This window comes from Homo sapiens, chromosome 13, assembly GCF_000001405.40.
Source record: "Homo sapiens chromosome 13, GRCh38.p14 Primary Assembly".
In the NCBI taxonomy this organism is placed as follows: Eukaryota; Metazoa; Chordata; class Mammalia; order Primates; family Hominidae; genus Homo; species Homo sapiens.
In genome coordinates this window covers 89,261,816-89,284,461 of record NC_000013.11, presented here as the reverse complement: position 1 = coordinate 89,284,461, position 22,646 = coordinate 89,261,816, and the positions used below count along the sequence as shown (strand labels likewise).

General features: G+C 33.4%; 1 long non-coding RNA gene across 1 annotated transcript in view; it reads right to left on the bottom strand.

Moving 5' to 3' along the window:
* Positions 1-4,221: 4,221 nt before the first annotated feature.
* The window catches only part of LINC00440 (long intergenic non-protein coding RNA 440), a 44,950-nt gene continuing 26,525 nt past the window's right edge, over positions 4,222-22,646 (bottom strand). Inside the window, exons 2-4 of the long non-coding RNA NR_047025.1 lie at positions 14,762-14,830; positions 11,100-11,256; positions 4,222-4,795 (exon numbers count right to left, since the gene is read on the bottom strand). This is a non-coding gene — a long non-coding RNA (long intergenic non-protein coding RNA 440). The remainder of the gene's footprint in view (positions 4,796-11,099; positions 11,257-14,761; positions 14,831-22,646) is intronic.

Genomic DNA, 22,646 nt, shown 5'->3' with positions numbered 1-22,646 from the left:
CTCCAAATGTGCTAGTTCAAGCCTGAGGCAACAATTTCTTTTCAAAATATTTACTATTTTCACCTAAATTTCAAAACTGAGAAAAAAGATTTCTAAAATTATGTCAATATAATGCTCAAATCATGATGAAATTATAAGAAAAGACAGCAGAATATTGTGTGTCTGAATAGTATATCATAGATTATGTGAAACATCATACCAAGATATACATTAAATTTTTAATGAACATCATGGAAAACCTGTATTTTATGATACTTCTCACCTAAACAGGATTAATTCTTCAGAGTTTCACTCCAACTTTGTGTAGATGTCTGACGCCAATCATAAAATTAATTAAATTGTGACAGGGAGTGAATAAATGAACAATGAGCTGATCTTCTCACCTGCAAAATTACACATAATATAAGGAAGTTTATGAAACTTAAACCAACAAATGAAACAAAAGATAAATTATGCATTGTTAGCTCCAGATAATTAAAGGCAGCACTGTATGGCCAAGCAAACACGCAAACACGATTTCCTAGAAATAAAAGAAATTTAAGCATAAAATCTGTGGAATTTCATGCATTATTTTCTCTTCTCCATGATTGGGTCAAATATTGCTAATTATTCAATAATATAAACAAAATAGAAACTTTATTTCTAACTACATATAGTAGAAACTGTTTTACAAGTGTGCAGAATGAGATACACACAAGATATTGATAACTTTAAGAGTAGAAAATGAAAGTTGGAAATTAGTAATAATTGTCCAACATCAGGAGAAAGAATAAACAAATTGTATTTGATATATGAGATATAATACTGGAATCAGTTAATATCAAGAGACACGAATCTCACATATGTAAATGTAAGCAAAGAAATAGGTGGCATAATATATACTAGATAATGTCATTACACAAACACACAATGGAATACTATTCTGAATTAACAAGAAATTAATTATTGATACATGCTACAATATAGATAAATGCCAGAACAATAACTAAGTGAAAGAAGCAGTACACTAAGGCAACATACTATATGATTCCATTTGTGTGAAATTCTTAGTAAAGTAGATCAATGGCTGCCTTTATCATGTGGTGGAAATAGGAGACTGTAATCTCTCATGAAGTAACTTAAAGGGATGATGGAAATTTTCTAAAACTGAATTTTGCTAATGGTTGAATGAATCTACATATTTACTAAAAATCCTTCCATTACATTGTATTAAATATGCATGAACTGGCCAGGCGCGGTGGCTCACGCCTGTAATCCCAGCACTTTGGGAGGCCGAGGCGGGTGGATCACGATGTCAGGAGATGGAGACCATCCTGGCTAACACGGTGAAACCCCGTCTCTACTAAAAAATACAAAAAATTAGCCGGGCGTAGTGGCGGGCGCCTGTGGTCCCAGCTACTTGGGAGGCTGAGGCAGGAGAATGGTGTGAACCTGGGAGGCGGAGCTTAGAGTGAGCGGAGATGCACCACTGCACTCCAGCCTGGGTGACAGAGCGAGACTCCATCTCAAAATAAATAAATAAATAAATAAAATAAAATAAAATGCATGAACTTGCATTACATATGAATCAAATCAACTACATGCAAGTTATACCTTAGAAAAGCTGTTAAAGGTAAATAACAGAATATAAAAAAGTCCCTATATGCCCATGTAATTGACATGATATTGCTAAACCAATCAGTGGCATGCATCTTAACATTAAAAAAATTTATAAACATACAAAAACTTGATAACTGATTGGTCATTGTATTAGTTTCTTAGGTCTGCAATAGCAGGTTATTATAAATTTGATGGGTTAAAATAAGAGAAATTCATTCTCTAATAGTTCTGGTAGTTAAAAGTCTGGAATCAATGTGTTGGCAATCAAGGTTTTGGTAAGGCCATGCTCCCTGTAAAGTCAGTCTCTGGGGTAGAAGTCTTTTTGTCTCTTGCAGGTTCTGATGGCCCAGAGAGTCCTTGATTTATGGCAGCATAACTCAATTCTCTGACCCCATCTTCACATGGCCTCCTCTCTGTGTTTCTCTGAGTGAAGTCTTCTTTTATAATGATACCAGTTATTGAATTTAGGGCCCTCCATAATCCAGTATGATCTCAACTTAACTAATTACATCTGCAAAACCCTATTTCCAAATAAGGTAACATTCTGAGATTCTAGATGCATGTGGATTTTGGGAGGATATTGTTCAACCGACTAAAGCCCTGGTAAGAATATTGCCTCCTTCAAAATTCAAGAATATTATATGAAATGCCCTAGGAAAACATTCAATAATCTTTTGCAAAAATGTTATAAAAGAGTATGCTTTGGTTGTTTCAATAAAATGAATTTGTTGTAGTGGTTTTCACTGTGGCCACTATTGAGTTATTTAATTATTTTTCCAGGAATAATTCATTTGCATTCTCACACATATTCAACTAAGTCAAAAATAAAATTTGGAAAGAAGAGTGTCAATGGATCAATGCCAACACATTAAATTATTGACTCGTTTTGTTTTTTGACCGAAGAGTTTAATTTTCTCAGCAACTTGAGCCAATTTATCTCTGCTTATAGCCATGGCCTCACGCTCTGCTGTAGAAAAGCATTTCTCACTAGTTCCACAGGAAATTAATAGACACGCTGTGAATGATGGGTTCGTTAATTAAATATAGTCAGAGAAAAACTGCGTTCAACAAAGCAGGTTCATTCCTGTCAAACTTCAAATAGCTTTAAATTTGCTAACCTGTATTATGACACACTGAGGGTGGAATCAGTTATGCAGTGTTTTATAAGTTTACTTGAAACGAAACTCCTGTTGGATGGAATATCACATACAACTGTGAAAAATTATGTGCCTATGCCATCCCTTAGGTAAGAGACGATTATGTCATTACTGCGGCAAATCCACCTCCAAATTTGTGATCCAATTTTAGTAAATGGTCTCCCCTCTTGTTTCTAAATGTAAAGCTGCACTTTCCTCCCAGTTCATGGTAATTGGATATCCATCCACAGCTGAAGTTTTGATCTTGATAAACTAATAACACCAAGTGATTTAAAGGGGAGTCCTGCCTTGCATTTGTCAATTCTTTTTAAGCAATGTCACACCTTAAACCAAAAACTGTGCAGCTTCTGAGTGCATGATTACAGACCTTTTGAACACACATTTCTTAATATTGTCATCTTGACCATATTCCAGGATAACAATTAATTTTACTCTAGTTCCCTCAGCCCAGTTGCTCTCCGGGTCTGTCACCACATGCTGGATCTCCCCATGGATCTTGTTACCATATCATGTTATTTCATCTCAGCTTTTAAAATTCAAATATGCACCTCTTTTCCTCATTTCGTATCCTTCTAGAAATTTCACCATGTCACTTTCATCTCCTTTTTTCTTTATATGTTCTATTAAATCTAGGTTCTTTTTTCGCCACCACGTCCCACCCCAACTATTCAAAAATATTTGTTTAAAAAAATCAATTGAGTTAAAAAATAAAATGATGGACAGTTTTAGGTTTTTCACCAAATCAGTTATTTATTTTCTTCAGTAAGAACAATTATAACATGTCAGGTGCTCCTCTAGGAGCCAGGAATACAGTGATAAAAGAGAAAAATGTCATTGCACTTACAGTTCTTACATTTTGGTAGAGGAGAAAGACAATAATCAAGATAAATATAGTATAACAATCAGTGCAAAATTATAAGGAGAACAAATCACATCAGGAGAGGGCATATAGAATATCTGGAAAATACACTGAAGTTTTAGGTAGAGTGGGAAGGCAATACTTTCCAGGGAAGTCTTTTCATATGGAAGGTGACTTTGCAGAAGAACAGAGCAAAATAAGGGAGCCTGTTGTGCTTACATAGATGAAAGTTATTGAAAAGAAAAGGAACAAGTGTGTGGAGAAATGTGCCTTGTAAATAATGCCCAGTAAGTTTCCCATCACGTTTAAGCATAATGATGATAGAAAGAATACACTCAAAATTTTCAGAAAAATAAATGGTTTACTTATGAAGGAAAAGTAAAAGAAAAATCATAACAGATAATACAACATTTAAAATTTTTGCTGAATGTTCCTTGTTTATTTTAGTTGTTTCTGTTCGTTGCACTTTCTTTGTGTATTTTTTCCACCTACTCCATCTCTCTTATGGTGTTGGTGTTTTTAAACAGCCTTGAGACCCTTATAAACTATTTTCCCTGAATTTACGAGCTGACTTTGTGGGCAGTATACTAGGGAAGTGTTTGTTGATGGTTGACTGCATCTTTGGATGAGTAAGGAGAAGTAAATAGAAGGGTTTGATCCCGTTACCTTCATTCCAATGCCAAATACGGAAGACTTAATTATGGTTACTGTGCCCATCATTTAAAAAAATCGGTAAATCATTTTGAAATGTTTTCCCTTATTTTAGCCTAAAGACAAATGATGCAAATCTCAGGGTGTGTGTGTGTGTGTGTGTGTGTGTGTGTGTGTTTGCATGCATGTCAGGGAGAGGAAGATAAAGGAGGATTTTGCAGTCATCGCACAGTCAGATTTGTAAGTCCATAATTTTTTCTTTGGACATTTCTGAAGAATTTCCTGGGAAGAATCACTTGTATAATTTCTCCATGTTTTCTGAAATGTGGCTATCTCCCTTCTGTTCTGTCTCTTTATATATTTATATCATCTTTACTTGCTCCTAAAATTTTGTCAAAATCTTTAGACCACAGACCACTTCCAAATCAATTGTTTCCAAGAGGATTGAAATCCAATCTCCTTCTTGTATTTCTGCTGTCATTTATATGAATTTTCAGAGGATGATTGCTCTGAACATTTTCTGTTCACCCTGTTGGTGAAGAAGGAATCCCTCATTATAAATAGTACAAGGCGGTTGAACACAGGACACTTGACAATGAACAGATGCAGTTAGCAGCAGATTATTAGTCACGTTTACTCACAGCCCAAGAAAGGAGAATGCCACGTGCAGTGCAAGGCTACACTCAGGAGCAGAGTGAAACAGGAGGGATGTGAGAGGCAGGCTTTGTATTAATAGGAAGGTGGGGTGCAACCTGGTTCTCATGAGGGTTGTGACTGACTGGGTTGAATCGGATCTTGTGCAGGCGGGAAGGTTGAGGACCAAGCTGGGTGCAGGTGGTTCGGCTGAAAATGGACCTAGCTGGATGGGGAGGCTTTGCTGGTGAGTGGGAGGGCATGTTTGATAAGAGAAAAGGTTGTAGCACTAAGAATTCGGAGTTCTCAGAGGTTCAGAGGTCAAAGGCAGCATACGGAATGTTGGGTCTTACAATGCAGAGATGATCTATTTACTATTTGGATAGAACCTTATCTTTTTTTTCAATTTGTACAGACTCATAGAAGAGTTTGTAGTATTTGAGAATGCTGTAGTATTTTATCATTTTTACTTTATTTGCTTATGAATACAGCTGCCTGTTCTTTCTCTCTGTTTATTCCTGTAGATTTTTCTTCAAAATTACCTACTCATGTTCTATTGTGACAAGGTACCCCTGTGTCTAAACCTAAACATCTTCATTTCATCTTCTCTATCTTCTGAATGTCCTCTCTCCTTCCAAATATTTTCTGAATAGTTTTGAACTTCAAATATTTGATGTTGTTCTTTTCACGCTACTCATTCTTTTGAGTGATTACTCTCTTTCTTTCTTGTATCAATTAACAACCAAGGCCGATAATTCTTCAAACTCGATCTTGATTATTCCCAAAGTTATGCTCACTTTATTTTAAACATTTATAATTTCCTTTCTCACAGGCTACTCAAAAGAAACATGTGTGAAACTTAAATTATCATTTTTTTAAACAGTATTGGTGTGAGGAGTCCAACTCCTGGTTAAAAACCTACTTACTATTTTCCAGGTGTGACCACAAATGATTACAAAAGGTTTATGTGACAGGCCTCGAAGTGGAAGCTGCCCTTTCCACAGCAGGCTTGACGCCCATCCAGAGGATGGCAGTGTCCAAGGGGAATGGCAGAAAAGGACTCAGGCCAGGCTGCTCCGGTCCATCAAGTTCTTCCGCCATTTGCATTCCAAGCCCAGGCACCTTCATTCCTAGGTGTCTTTCTCTGAGGCTTTAGGTGGAGGCCTTCTTCAAGCACCTCTGCTAAGCCTCCTTACTGGAGGAAAGACAGGGAAAACATGAAGACAATTTCCACACTTTTCTAGTACTTTTCCACTCCTAACTCTCTCCTGCATCATCATTCCAGGGTCCATACAACTGCAGGAGCCTTTCAGGTTCCCTCAACTGAGGGGACCTCCGTACCCATGCTGACCCTTCGCTGAGGCACAACTCTATGAGGTAAAATAAAACAGGTTTTCATCAGTGTTTTCTCCAGTTTTAGCTTCTTCCACTACAGAAAATGATTAAAGGCTTAATTTTTTTGTGTTTGGCTTGTTGCTTTTATAGACTATGCTGATATTTGCCAGATCAGCTCTCCCCCACCTCAGCTGGGCTCCTGACAGTCGCCTAAACTCTTTACTGCATTTTTTGCAGCATCATATATTTTCACCCTAGTTAATATACCAAGAGATATATTTGACTTGCCCCAAATGTTTACTACCCACTAACAGTAGTTCAAATTCTGTCCACTTGGCTTCCTAAATATTGTAATTCTATACTGAATTCAACCTTTCCTTCTGAGCACTTCTAATATCACCTAAATCCAGTCTTCATTCTTTAATTCCTGGCCTCCAGAAAAGAAATCATAAATGTACTCAGAGTTATCTACAAATCTATCTATACTGTAGACATGGTGACAAATTCAAAACACAGAACCTGACATATATCTTCTCACCCTACCAAATCACTGCAGTTGGATGAAATCTTAGCTTATCATTATGGTTTGGACATTTTTACTTTTTCTGCCTCATAACTCACTGGTCTTTTCTATTTACATTATTTTCCAAAAGGACTGAAATTCTTCCATAGTCAAAATGTATTTTAATTTTTAAAATCATTTATTTACTTATTTAATTTTACTTCTGTGGTTATACTCATGCTATCACCATTGCTTAAAATAATTTACTGCCTCTTTTTAAAAAAAAATAAAAAATATTTTATAGGTACATACTAGGTATATATATTCATGGGGTACATGAGATATTTTGATACAAGCATGCAATTTGTAATAATCACATCAGGGTAAATGGGGTAACCATCACTGCAAGCATTTATCATTTATCATTTCTTTCTGTTTCAAATATTCCAATTATATACTCAGTTATTTTAAACTATACATTAAATTATTGTTGACTATAGTCACCCTGTTGTGCTATCAAATTCTAGATCTTATTCCTTCTAATTAATTGCCTCTTTACCATAAATAAATAATCTCATTTATCAAATCCAGAAAGGAAAGTTCTGTTTGTGTGTGTGTGTGCACACATGTGTGTGTATAAAACAAACCAGCATTAATCACCAGCAGGAGATTCTTAGTGCAAGGAAAAATATACTGGCAGAAGGATCAGCAAAATTACAGGAGGGACCCACTCAGCACAGGAAAGAGTCGAGAGATGGGAGTGAATGTCAAAAGCTACCAGATGGTGGAAGGAGTAAGGAACAGATTTTTCCTTTAAGCCTCTGGGGGTAGTAGAACCCTGAAAACACCTTGATTTCCACCCAGGGAAACTGATTTCAAAGTTTTGGCCTCTAATACTGTGAGATAATAAATTTCTGTTATTTTAAGCCACTAAGTTTATGGTAACTTACTACAGCAGCTATAGGAAAATAATGTAGATTTATTGGCCAAATTCAGCCAATTGCCTGTTTTTGTACAGCCCAAAATTTTGAGTGTTTCAAATATTTTTAAATGGCTGAAAAAAATCAAATAGAGATAATATCTGACTTGTGAAAATTGCATGAAATTCAAATTCGATAGTCCTCAAAGTTTTGTTGGAATATACCCAGGCTCCCCTTTACGTCGTCTGTAGCAGCTTTCATGCTAAATAGTAGAGCTTTGCAGTTGTTGCAGAGAAGAGTGTGTCCTGCAAGGCTGAAAATATATGCTCTCTGGTCTTTCACAGAAATGACTTGCTGTCCCTTGTACTGGTTTATTTTATAATTACCACTTTCTATGTTTATCCTTTTCATTAAATTGTGAATTACTTGAGGACCAACATTTTACACACAGTCCAAGTTAAACAAATATTTAAAGACTCAGTAAACTTTTTCTTGTCTCTGAACAATAAAAGAATTGCATTCTAATGTCAAATACCAAAGTATCTAAGAATTACTTATAGTTTTCTTAATTTCAAGGCTTTTATATTTTTACCATATTCTAAATGATGGTGGGAATTTAGAATGATGAAATTACTTGGACTAAAACATCTAATATCATCCTGTAAGGAATCAAGATGCCTTGCAATAGATGAATTTTGAGATTATTAAAAATTTCATAATGTTGGTAATGACAAAATAAATAGAAACAAAAGAGTAAATGTGAGAAAAATTTAAAAGGTGTCATCAATAAGAAAAGTTGCATAGCTTCCTATAAGATGTTTATTAAGATAACAAATAAATTATGTTTAAGGACCAAAAGTTTTAATAAAACACTGATTTTTAATTTGAACTGAGGATACTTGAGACTTAAATATTTAGATTTTTAAATATGGTAGAGACACACTAATTAAAGATGAAAGAGCATAAAATATTAACCAACATACAATGTTATGGTTTAAGATATTATTGAAGAGTTCACAATTTTATATCATTCTGTAATTCATGCTTTATTGCTAATTGACTTTTCCTAAATGACAAACTTGTAATTGGTAGTTACTGAAACACATATTCTCAAAGGTCGTGAAACCCTAGAGAACCCTGAGTGAGAAAACTTTCTCATAAGATATAGTTATACCTGAAGTCAGCATAAAACCAAGCTTTGTACTTTATCAACTTATGAAGTTTAAAGGTTATGCTAATACAAAATGGATATTCATTTTTATAAAAGAGTTCAAAAGAAAAAAAAAGTCAAACACTGCTCAATAGAAAGAAATGAAGAGGAACTGGAAAACTTTAACATCATCTTACTAGCCTCTAAGTTTAAAATTGACATTAAACTATTGAGCATAGAGAACTATAAAATAATTTTGTTGTTCATTTGCTCATATGGTGAAGTGGCTTTTGCACAATTCCACAGCGGAATATGTATTGAACTCTCTCAATTCATTTCATATTTATTACCTCTTCTTTTACAAGAATGCAAAGTATTCTTTTGTTACTGGAAACATGAATTATATTTGCGCTTGCAAAGAGGAGGAGGAATTTTCTGCCCTTAACTAAGAATCACACATTTTTTAGGCACAAATCCATGTGTTCAATACCAATGGTAAATTAGCTTTGGAAAGCTGTAACTTAGAGGCTAGAAAAGGCATCAATGGTGGCCCATTCATTTTTCTACTTAAAGTATTTTTTATTTTCTCTCCTCTTTTTATCCTATCATATTTTCTTAACTCACAGTTAATTTATACAAACTAAATGTTTATTTCCCAAAAAACATGTGTACCGTAATTGTCATGTTACTAAGTCTCAATGATACTTTTTTAGATGACAGTAAGGCCACAGTTTATTGTGGGAAACAGGCACATATTAAATATTTAGAATAGAATATAGTTTTTCATTAAAAAATATAAAGAGCAGTAGGTTTAATTATCTATCGAATTGTGCAGTACAATTGTTCACTCTTACTGAAATGAGACGAACTTATTTCAATCTTAGTGAAAACATTTTTAGCTTTGTGGTCAAGAAAAAGATATATGAAATCTATATTCAGATTCTGCACTGAATTCTCGATCTATTTTACAAACTTAATGTACTAGTACCTGCCTCATAGCATTATTATAAGAATTAAAATCAAATAAGCACTTTGTTCACTGTCACAAAAATTTGAGATTTTATTTACATGAAAAATAGTTGTCACCAAAATTGTTATATTTTGTCTTTATTTTTGAAGGGAGTAGAAAACTATCAACATTTTTTATGCTGATTATGTTGTGCTTCAAGAATAATCAAGTGACTAAATTTAGACTGTTAGCCCATCTAAACTATTTTGTCATTTTTAGTAATAATTGGTTAATAATGAATGCTATTGAGGATGAAAATACAATTTCAACTTAATATTCTTGACTTCTCAGGGAGGATAATTATTTTATAAAAATAAAGTTCACATTTAAACATTAAAAATCAATTATTTCACAAATCTGTGCCCTTTCTTACAAATACTGAGAGACAAAGGTCAGAGGCAAAGTTTATAACTTTCACACTACAAAAATAAAAATAAAATAGGAATAGTCTGCTTTTGGCCATGGAGAGCCATTCAGAATCTAATTCCCGAGCTTCTGTTACATAGTTGTCGACTAAAATTTATGTAGGTATATGATTGATTACATATATACTAATTTATAGGTATATACAGATATATATTGTGTGTGCATATATGTGTGTGTGTGCATATATGTGTGTGTTTGTATATATATATATATATACATACATATATATACATATATATGTGTATATATATATATACACATATATATATATACATATATATATATATGTATATATATATATATACACACAGAGCAGCATTAGCAGATCAAGTTATATTGTGTTTATTTCAGGTCCCTTAATATAATGTAGCATATTTTTAAATGTTCTCAATGAGGAAGTATAGGATAATAAATAGATGATACATTTAATTTAGCCACAGACACACCTAATTTCAAACTCTTATGAGCTTCTTAAATATTGTATAATTTTGGGCACATTATTTGATTTACTTGACCTTTGTTCCCTCATCTATAAAATGGAGACAATAAAGTCTAATACAAAATGTTTGTATAAGCCTTAAATGAAATAGAATGGAAAAGTGGCTGATCCAAAATAAGAAGTCAAAAACCTATGATTTTTGTAACAAATATATGATTAGTAAGTGACAGGAATTGCTCAAACCTGAAATCTGTTGTATATATTAAGAGCAAAGCACCAACTTTAGTGAGGAGAGCCAAAAATGAAATCGTGTTATTAAATGCAGGAAAATTGACATGTCAGCACAGCATTGTTAAAGGAGAGTGAAATGACAAGACAGGTTAATCATGTTATCTTTTTTTATCATGTTTATACATTACCTTCTTTTTATCATAAAAGAATTAAATTGAGGGAAGCTAAGAATGTAGCAACCCTCTTTGGGAGCAGACATGAAGATCTTGTTTAGAGAGCATTGTTCAGACGTCACTCTGGTTGTTCTGGAAATGGGACCCAACCACCTCATGGTGTATTATGACACTATAATAAGAAAAATATATAGAAATAAGCTAGTTAATGATTAGCATCAACACAGATATAATTAGCTCCACAATGATGGAATTTCTGAGGGAAAAAAAAAACCACAAAGTGAATTGATCTTCAGACAAAGAATGGGGTTATTAAAGGGCTGACTGAATTAAGTGTGAAAGGAGTAGCCTAAACTCTGAGGATTCCAATTCTGTGGCTTCTCCTAGTAAATTTTATTTAATATTTTTAGGTAACAAATAGTTTATATATCTCTGTTTTCTGGCAGGTTCTAAATCTTACCATAAATTTTTAGAGGGAAAAAATGTTTAGGGAAGAATTGAAGCACATTATTCTGAGTCCTTATTTTTAAAAAGTGCCCAGAAAAGAAAACAATTGCAAATATGCTGATTTGGTGGCTACCCCTACCGTTAATAAAACCCAGAGCATCAGGCCTAACTAATAACAATAGCATCAGCACCACCTCTTTGATATAAGAATTATCTGTGAATTAACAAATCTAATCCTTACTGTAGGATAAAGAAACTGAGATTTTAAAAGATTAAATAATTTGCTTCAGTCGCATACAGTAAATAATGAATGGGTCTACCTCACAGGTACAAGCTTTGGAACATATTGTCTGTATCTGTTTGTGAAAAAGCACTTTAGTTCAAAATATACAGAACCTTGCAAAAATTTCCTAATAAAATAACATTTTAATTTTTACAGTAAAACCTATGAAGTCTCTTAATGTATCAATCATAAAACAGATCTAAAAATGTTTCAGACTTACAGAGATTTTAAAAATATACATTTTTTCCAACTCATATGTGTTTTAATATATGAATTCTAAAAGCCATTTTTGGCAATGCACTGGGTTAACCATTTGAAACGCAATTCTCATTATCTCCCCAAATATTTTTTTCTTTAATCTATTTTAATATAAAGATTAGGCTTTTAAAATTCCTTCAGGAAGACATCTAATTGCTTGTCATCTTCTTGTTCTACAATTAACACCATTTTCCACTGAAGTGAACCATACCTGCAAGCAATGAATATCATTAGGGGATTTTGATAATTAACCTACAATTGTAGCTGTTAAAAAGGTTTTAGCAATTGTCCTTTTGAAATATTTGCTACATGATTATGATTTATTTACTTAAAAAATGTCCCAATTTTAGCAGCTCAAGATATAACAGATCTTATAAAAGCTATATTGACAGCTTTCTCATATCATCTTGTATCATTTTAAGAAAGGCAGGCTGGAATACAAGTAATGCTTACGGTGCAGAGGAGTTTCTCTACAGGAGTAGCTATTATTAATGCCCTTTAGCCAAAGACCACCAAGAACACAGCTGTAGTTTAAAAAAATGGATTTATTACTCTTTGAAGTGAGTATGACTGCTTACTATAGGGAATTGTTGGGTGTCACAATAAGATGGTTAAAAAATAAATAATCTTTTATAGGATTTGGACTTAGTTTGGGTGATTTGGCAGAAGGTCCAAGGAAGCAAGGTTTTCTGCTAGTTTGAATATATTTTATGTATTTCAAAATAAGAATTTCACATTGATTTTAATATGCTGGTTGACGTGAAAGGAAAGCAGGGGCAATTTTATGATTGGTTAAAAAAGAAGTAGCTGTCACTAGTTTAGCAAAAGAATGGAAATACTGTTATTTTGTGGGCTGAGGAGCAACCTAGATTTTGTTCTACTTAGACAAACTCATGAAGTAGCCTTGCTTTGTCTCATTTTATCATGGATTTAGGATTGGTCTGAGGTTGAAATTTTGTGGAATTGTTACATAAGAGAACAACATGGCCTACAATGAGTGCTGGGTCACCTTCTGAAAGTCAAGAAATGCTCTTTGTTTTCTTAGTCACTGTACATACCGCAAGGATAATGATTAAGAAAAATGTCTACAAGATAATGTTAAAAAATTAAAATATTAATTTTCAATTATTCATTTTTTTAGTTCAATATTTCTATCCTAATTCTTCAAATGAATTGAGAATGCTTTTCAAAGACAGTACTTGATATAAATTAATAAAAGAAATATATAATTTAAATTAGATTTTTCTGGCAGCAGAGACAGAAATCAAAGTAAATTCAATTATATATTTTCGTGATGTAAAAGAAAGAAACAACATCGTGCTGGTTATCTTTTGTTTTTCTCTTCAGAGCTATTCCTTATCCTTGTTCATCCCTCTCCTTGTCCCCAGGATGCTGGCTGGATTGTTGCTCTCTGTCTTCCAGGTAATAGCTGCCAATAGGCATCCCCAGAGGGAGATCAGTAGGAGGGAATAGAGTGAGGTCAAGGTAAATGTTAGCCATCATTTTTTTCATGTCCTGGACGTGTCCCTGGACCAAAATAAACAGCTCCTGGCTGGCTGCCTCCCCATGCAGCTCTTTTTCTGGATTCCTCTCTCTTCTTCAGCCCTTGGCCCCTTTTGGCCTGCACCATAAAGACACCTATTTTTACCAACCAGAAGGCATTGCACTATTTATTGTGGTTTCACTACACTTTGCTTGTTCCTGTGTATCTATTTCACTCATTAAACTCTTTGCAAAGTATCCCTTTTTACATTGCTGCAGTTTTTTGCTATAGGGCAGAGTGAAACACATATATTATTTATAATATCTTTTGAAATAAAAGTATCACATTGATTTTGATGCATTGGTTGATGTAAATATATTTCCCTATAAGACTTTTACTAATATTTTCAATAAGCAATGTGGAGGATTCCATATAGCTGCCAAATTGATATTTTGAAATAATCCATTGTTTAAAATGCCTATTGTTTATATTGTATGCTAATGCTGATAACTAGATAGTCTATGTTTTCACCTCGATCTGGAACAATGATGTTTAATATTTCTCAAATAATCACACTTTACCTATGTATCATGAACAAGTCACACATCATGACTTGCCTGGGAAGATCCTGGCTTATACTCAAAGTCCCTTTTACCTCCAGTTTAATATATATTAAATGTTTTTATTTTAAAAATGTTTTATTTATATTTTCATTAACACAAGCTGGAGGATTTGCTATACCTCCCAATTGGACTTTGAGTCTCTGATGAAGTGTCATGTATTAGTGGATGCATGTGAAACGAAAAGATTTACCACAATAATGCATCACTAAATCTGAAGCAAAGGAGATCAAACCTGTCTTTCTTTTATTGACCTCCCCAAGAAGCTAACATCTTCCCCAGAAGCTATCATAGCTAACATCTCATTTGCATGTGTAGTCTGCAGGGTGCTTACTGATAAAACATGAGTCTGCAGGGAAAGCTAGCTACTCCGGGTTGTTGCCTGGGGTCATAGAAGTAGGATGCTGCTTTCTCTGTCAGGAATCTGGTTTTAATTTTATAAAAAACAAGGCATGGCAAGAAAGAGGATCAAAATGAAAAAACCCAGAAGAAATGAGTAAGATAGCAATTCATTCCCACAACTAATACATATATTCAATTTTTCAGAAACAAAGTTTATAATTACTTTGATAAGACTGTTCCTTACCTTGTGAGAAGGAACGAGGTGCCCAGTTTCCAGTCAGTGAGGTCACTGAAAATGCAGGAAGAGTATAGGCTAGGGGAAAGCAAATTTGTGCAGGAAATCTTAGTGGAACAGCATTATGTGGAGTACATAAAGTATATGCAAACGTTTAAAAGAGTGGATTAGTATTGTATTGCATAATGTAAATCTAAATCTATTTATGTAATTTATTATTTCTTTGTATCTTTTTAGGCAATAATCACATTTATCAGCAAAAAGCCCACAGAGTTTAACTAAAAGAAATAATAAAATTTAACATAACATTTAACTACTGACTTTAATTTACTTTGGACATTTTTCATGAATTTGTAACTAGAAACAAAATCTTTGAGAAAGTTATTCATGTTAGGGGTTGTACCAATAATTCTGACAAGATGAAAACCAAATAACACCAGACTAATTAAGAAATGCCATCATTTACTTCAAAAGTAAAAAATGTATTTAAAGAAAATGTGCCCAAAAGTGATGCTTTCACAAGGTACAATTATAGAAAGTACATTTCTATTTCTGTGAACCCTGTCACAGAAATATAATGGTTATCTATTCTATATGTAGTTAGAAATACTTTTATCTAAATCTCACAATTATACTTCCATATTAATATTGCTCATTTTTGCAAGTATTTGGCACATACATGCAAAGTGAAGCAATAATTATGTATTGACTTTATTATCAGAAACCTTCCACAAATGACTAGTTTTACATCAATATTATCAGAGAATTCAGAATGAAAATCAGTAAGAATAAATACTAATAAATGTTTTGAATTTTTAATGGAATTTATTAAATCAAAGTCAAATTTTTGAAAGTTCATTTTGTCAAAGTAGAAAATCTTCATTATTATAATTGTACTTTACATTCAGTTACTATTTTAATAATGCGTGCAAAACTTTTTTTAAATATAAATATAAATTTGAGTATAGTGCTATTAAACAAAAACAACAGCAATAACCCCCTAGATTCTTATTAAATTAATAGATATATGGAATAGAAATGTACTTGAAATTGATTGGAAAGAGCCCTTAGTCCATATTTACATCTAAAATTTGATTATTCTATGTTATAATTTAAAATAGGAACTATGTACTAAAAATTCATGTAAATTATACATAATATAATATATATATTTTGTATCATCTGTCATTCATGTATAATATATAAATAATTTATGTATTATATATGAATATATAATATACATACGATACATGAATAGAAATGTATATACTTTATATATAATTTATGCACAATAATGTACATATATATTCACACAAACACATTCATATATAAAACATGTATAAATGATTAAAATGGAAAAGCTGATGTTGACAACAAAAACCCATTTCAGCAGGGTGTACCTGGCATGAGACAGATGCCAGATGAACAGAACTACAAAAGATGAATAAAATATTTAAAAATCACTGAAGGCATTTATAAAACAACAAAGGCTGCCAGAACTCCAGAGCCACAATCCTATAGGACAGGGTCATGCATTGAGGTGAGCCCTGCATTTACTGCTGCTTTTTCTTTTTGAGCCTTTATTCAATTCTAGGTGCGAGACATAGGGGCAAACTGAGAGTAGCAATCCAGGACTTGCAGCATTCCCTTGGCTGAGAAAACAGTCACTAAAATGTATGACTTCTGAACAACCAAGAATGAGGGCAATATCCTAAGAGAAAGGAAAACCACAGAGAAATGACCCACACAGTGTGAGTACAGTATTGCTGTAAGACATTATTCAACTTTTACACTGTTCCAGTACAGGTGATGACTCAGATAAAGAAAGCATAAAAACAGCTGCTCAGAAACTACAAAGCGAAGCGTGGATTCAACAGTCTCACCACTCAGGAGAGACAAATACAGAGCTTAGGAACCCCTCAACACAAGAGGAAGGACCTTTGTACATACCCTAGGATTTCACTTGGGAGACTTGAAAAGGTTAAACTCTAGATGTAAGCACAAACCAGGTATGTATTTCTTGTTCTGTGCAAGGTGGTGAAAATAGGTAGATCTTCTGCAGAGAAAAATAATACCCTGCACACACTATATAATTTTCCATATATATGTTTAAAGAATTTAATTCAAAAACAAATAGTGGTTAGAAAGAGGTCCAAATGAACAAAAACCGAAAGAAATGCATAAGATAGTAATTCATACCCACAACCAATAAAGATATTAGAGTTACTGGAGACGAAGTTTAAAATTACTGTGATTTAAATATTAAAGAATATTGACAAAAATGGAATTTCAGCAAAGAAAAACAAAAATCAATTAGATGGGAGGTTTAGAACTGAATAATTCAATAACATATTATGAATTTAAAAGATTGGTTTAAAAATAGTGTAGTCACAGCATTAAAAAGAGCAAATACACTGAAAGTTAGAGCAAGATAAACTGTCTGAACTGATGCATCCGAAATAGATTTTAAATACACAATAGTATTCAAAAGACATACAATTCATGATGATAAGATCTAATGAAGCTCCCAAGGGAAGGGAGAAAACTTGAGTCAGAAACAATACTTGAAAAAATAAAACTGGACAATTTTCTAAAACTTATGAAAACCTAATGTGAATCCACAACTTCAAGGAGATCTAAAACAATATGAAACAAAACACCACACACACACACACACACACACATACACATACACACACACACAGAGGCAGGAGAAATACAAAATAAAACCACACCTATGTTACTTTGCTAAAAAAGGAAAAAAAGAAATCTTAAAAGCAAAAACAAGAAAACACATTTTCCTTAAAGAGGCAATAATAAGAATGGTAGCTAATTTTCAAATAGAAATAGTGGAGATAAGAAAAAAATAAAAACATTGCTTGAAAGTGCTGAGAGAAAATAACTGCCAAGCAAGAATATTTTGTACAGAAAATATTCTCCAAAAATGAAGGTAAACAAATATATTTTCGGCAAAAACAAAAACAGTGAAACATTCACCAGCAGAGCTCTGCCCTTGGAAATTATAAAGTATATTATTTAAGCAGAAATAAAATTAGTCCAGATAGAAACTGTAAGGCAGAAAGGAATGAAAAGGAATACAGATGGCAAATATGTGAATAAATCTAAGATAACGTCGACTACTGAGAACAGTAATAGCAATATCTTTTGAGGTTTAAAATATATGCAGAAATATAAAGCGCAAGAAAAAGAGTGGGAAATCTAAGAGGGGATATAAATGTAGGCAAAAATTATGAGGTCTTTGAATTTTTTGGAAATAATTAGACATATACTGATTTCATTTTACTAATCAAGAACAAATATTGCAATGCGTGCAATAACCATTGAATATAAGTAAAAGTAGTTTCAATTAACAAGTTAACAGAGAGGAAGAAAAGAAAAAATGTATTTGTTTTATAACATGTAGTATTCCATAAAAATAACATACTTACAAAAGAATAGAGAATAGTACAAAAACATGAAATGGTAAAGTGGTACATATAAATACGAAATCCCTTCATTTCATAAAATGTAAATGGGATATATTCTGCAATTAAAAGCAAACATTGTCAAACTAGCTGAGAAACAAAATTCTAACCATATGCTGGCATAACAGAAAACTATATTAAATATAAATAAAATGGTTGACAGCAAAGGATAAAAACATGCGTAATGTGAGAACATTAACAAAAAGGAAGCAATATAGCTACATTAATACTAGAGAATGTATACTTCAAAGGAAGAAGCATTTCTAGAGATAACAATCTAATAATGCTTAAAAGTTAAACATCAAGAAGCTAAAACAACCCTAATTTTGTATATGCTCAATGAAATAGTTTAAAGATTTTTAAAGGAAAAACTGCAAAATAGCTTGAAGAATAGACAGAAATATTTCAAAAGTAGTTGGTGTTCTTTTTTTTTTTCTTTTTTTTTATTATACTTTAAGTTTTAGGGTACATGTGCACATTGTGCAGGTTAGTTACATATGTATACATGTGCCATGCTGGTGCACTGCACCCAATAACTCGTCATCTAGCATTAGGTATATCTCCCAATGCTATCCCTCCCCCCGCCCCCAACCCCACAACAGTCCCCAGAGTGTGATGTTCCCCTTCCTGTGTCCATGTGATCTCATTGTTCAATCCCCACCTATGAGTGAGAATATGCGGTGTTTGCTTTTTTGTTCTTGCGATAGTTTACTGAGAATGATGTTTTCCAATTTCATCCATGTCCCTACAAAGGACATGAACTCATCATTTTTTATGGCTGCATAGTATTCCATGGGTAGGAAGAATCAATATTGTGAAAATGGCCATACTGCCCAGGGTAATTTACAGATTCAACGCCATCCCCACCAAGCTACCAATGACTTTCTTCACAGAATTGGAAAAAACTACTTTAAAGTTCATATGGAACCAAAAAAGAGCCCGCATCGCCAAGTCAATCCTAAGCCAAAAGAACAAAGCTGGAGGCATCACACTACCTGACTTCAAACTATACTACAAGGCTACAGTAACCAAAACAGCATGGTACTGGTACCAAAACAGAGATATAGATCAATGGAACAGAACGGAGCCCTCAGAAATAATGCCGCATATCTACAACAATCTGATCTTTGACAAACCCGAGAAAAACAAGCAATAGGGAAAGGATTCCCTATTTAATAAGTAGTTGGTGTTCTTAATGCAACTATCTCAGTAAACAACAGAAGAAGCACACAAAAGAAAAATCCGTGAGTATACATTTAAACAACACTCAGCAAGCCCCAACTAAATGATATTTATAAAATGTAATATCTAACATTATTCTAAAGTTTATGTCAAAAAGTAAAAAACAGTAGATCATATGTTATTTTAAAAATTTGAATTCAGAATAATGGTTGCCGGAGCTAGAGAGTGGGGGCAATAGGGAGATTCTGGATGAAGGATAAAAAGTTTTATTTAAGCAGGATGTATATGTTCTGAGAATCTAATGTATTGCATGGGAAATAGAGTTAATAATACTGTATTGTAATTTGAAACTCACTAATGCAGTAGGTTGTTAATGTTCTCTTTCTCCCCCACAATGCAAAAAAATATAACTACTGAGATGATGAATATGTTAAGTAGCTTGATTATGGTAGTCATTTCATAATGTTTTTATACATCAAAACATCACATGATACATTATATACATATATATACACACACACAATTTTTAGTTTTATATCTCAGTAAAACCAGAAAAAATAAAAAGAAAATGAACAACTTGATTAAAAATAAACAAAAGAGCTCAACAGACACTCCATTAAAAAAGATACACAGATTGCAAGTAAGTTTATAAAAAAACTTAATGTCATATATTATTAGGAAATTGGAAATTAAAACAGCAATAAGATACCACTATGCATGTATTAGAATTGCCGTAACCTGAAACAGAGATAGTGTCAAATGCTACTGAAGATGTGGAATGACAGAAACTTTCATTGATTGCTTGTGGAAATGCAAAGTGGTACATTCCCACAACTAAACATATTCTAACCATATTATCCAGAAATCATGATCCTTAATATTTAGCCAAATGAACTGAAAGCTTGTATCCACACAGAAGCCTCCACATGGACATTTGCCTCAGCAACCAAGATGTCTTTCAACAGGTGAATGAATAATTAAACTGTGGTACAACCCTAATGTAAACTATGGACTTAGTTGATAATGATGTGTCAATGTAGGTTCATAATTTTAACAAGTGTACTACTCTGGTTGAGGTTTGTCCATAGTGGAAGAGGCTGTGCATTTTTATAGTGTGGGGTTCATGGGAACTCTGTATTTTTCATTAAATTTTACTGTCAACCTAAAAGTTCTCTAAAAATAAAGTTTATAAATTAATAATAAAAAAGAATTTATACAAAAAGTGCTTTGACAAGTTACAAATTAATACAATAAAAGTAATAACAGAAAAAAGCACAAATATTTAGAAACGAAACAACCAAATTATATTGTCTGGAAAAAACTACAGTAAAAATTAGAAACAGCTTGAAATTAATATTAATAAAATATAACACATTAAACTTATGGGGGTGCAAATAAATTTCTACTTGAAAGGAAACTTATAACTTTAAATATATGCATTTAAAAAAAGGAATCTTAAAATTCAACAATCTCAGAATCCGTGTGAAGAAGGTAGAAAAAGCATTAAAATTAAAGGCAAAAGATTATGAGATTGGGAATAAAGATAAGCACATATATACTTTCAAGTAGGAAATAAAAGCAAAAAAGAGAAAATCAGTAAGAAAAGTCTCCCAGTAAAAAAACAAACAAAACAAAACCAAACAAAAAAACCCTGGGACTTGATGGCTTCATTGCTGAATTCTACCAAACATTTAAAGAAAAACTAGTACCAGTTCTACTGAAACCATTCCAAACAACAGAGGAGGATGGGATACTTCCAAACTCATTCTATGAGGCCAGTATTACTCTGATACCAAAACCAAAGATATTTCAAAATAAAAAAATACTAGCAAACTGAATTCAACAATACATTGGAAAGATTATTTATCCTGACCAAGTGGGATTTACCACTGGGATGCAGAGATTGTTTGACATATGAAAATAAATGTGCTACATCATAGCAACAGAATGAAGTACAAAAACCATATTATCATTTATTTTCTTTCTTTATTTATTTTTTGAGGCGGAGTCTCACTCTGTCGCCCAGGCTGGAGGGCAATGGTGCAATTTCGGCTCACTGCAAGCTCCGCCTCCCAGGTTCACGCCATTCTCCTGCCTCAGCCTCCCCTGTAGCTGGGACTACAGACACCCCCCACCACGCCCAGCTAGTTTTTTGTATTTTTAGTAGAGACGGGGTTTCACTGTGTTAGCCAGGTTGGTCTTGATCTCCTGGCCTCGTGATCCGCTGGCCTCAGCCTCCCAAAGTGCTAGGATTACAGGCGTTAGCCACTGCGGCTGGCTGATCATTTCAATTGATGCTAAAAAAGCATTTGATACAATTCAACATTGTTTATGATAAAATCCATTCAAAAACAATATATAAAAGGAGCATACCTCAACATAATAAAAGCCATATACAACATACCCACAGCTAGTATCATACTGAATGGGGAAAAACAGAAAGCCTTTTCTCTAAGATCTGGAACATGATAAGGATGCCCACTATTCCCACTGTTGTTCAACATAGAACTGGAAGTCCTAGCTATAGCAATCAGACAAGAGAAGTATATGAAAGGCATCCAAATAGGAAGGAATTAAGTCAAATTATCCTTGTTTGCAGATGATGTAATCTTATATTTGGAAGACTCCACAAGAAAACTATTGGAACAGATAAACAATTAAATAAATTTGCCAGGGGCCAGGCGCAGTGACTCACGCCTGTAATCCCAGCACTTTGGGAGACCCAGAAGGGTGGATCACGAGGTCAGGAGATCGAGACCATCCTGGCTAACACGGTGAAACCCCGTCTCTACTAAAAATACAAAAAATTAGCTGGGCGTGGTGGTGGGCACCTGTAGTCCCAGCTACTCGGGAGGCTGAGGCAGGAGAATGGCATGAACCCAGGAGGCGGAGCTTGCAGTGAGCCAAGATTGCACCACTGCGCTCTAGCCTGGGTGACAGAGCCAAACTCTGTCTCAAAAAAATAAAAATAAAAAAAAATAAAAATAAATAAATAAATTTGCAAGATACAAAATCAACATATGAGAATCTGTAGCATTTTTGTATGCCAACAATGAACAACGTGAAAAAGAAATATGAAAGTAATCCCATTTATAATAGCCACACATAAAATTAAATACTTAGGAATCAAGCAAAGAAATGAAAGATCTCTATAATGAAAGCTATAAAAGACTAATGAAATAAATTGAAGAGGACACACAAAAATAAAAAGTTATTCCATGTTTATA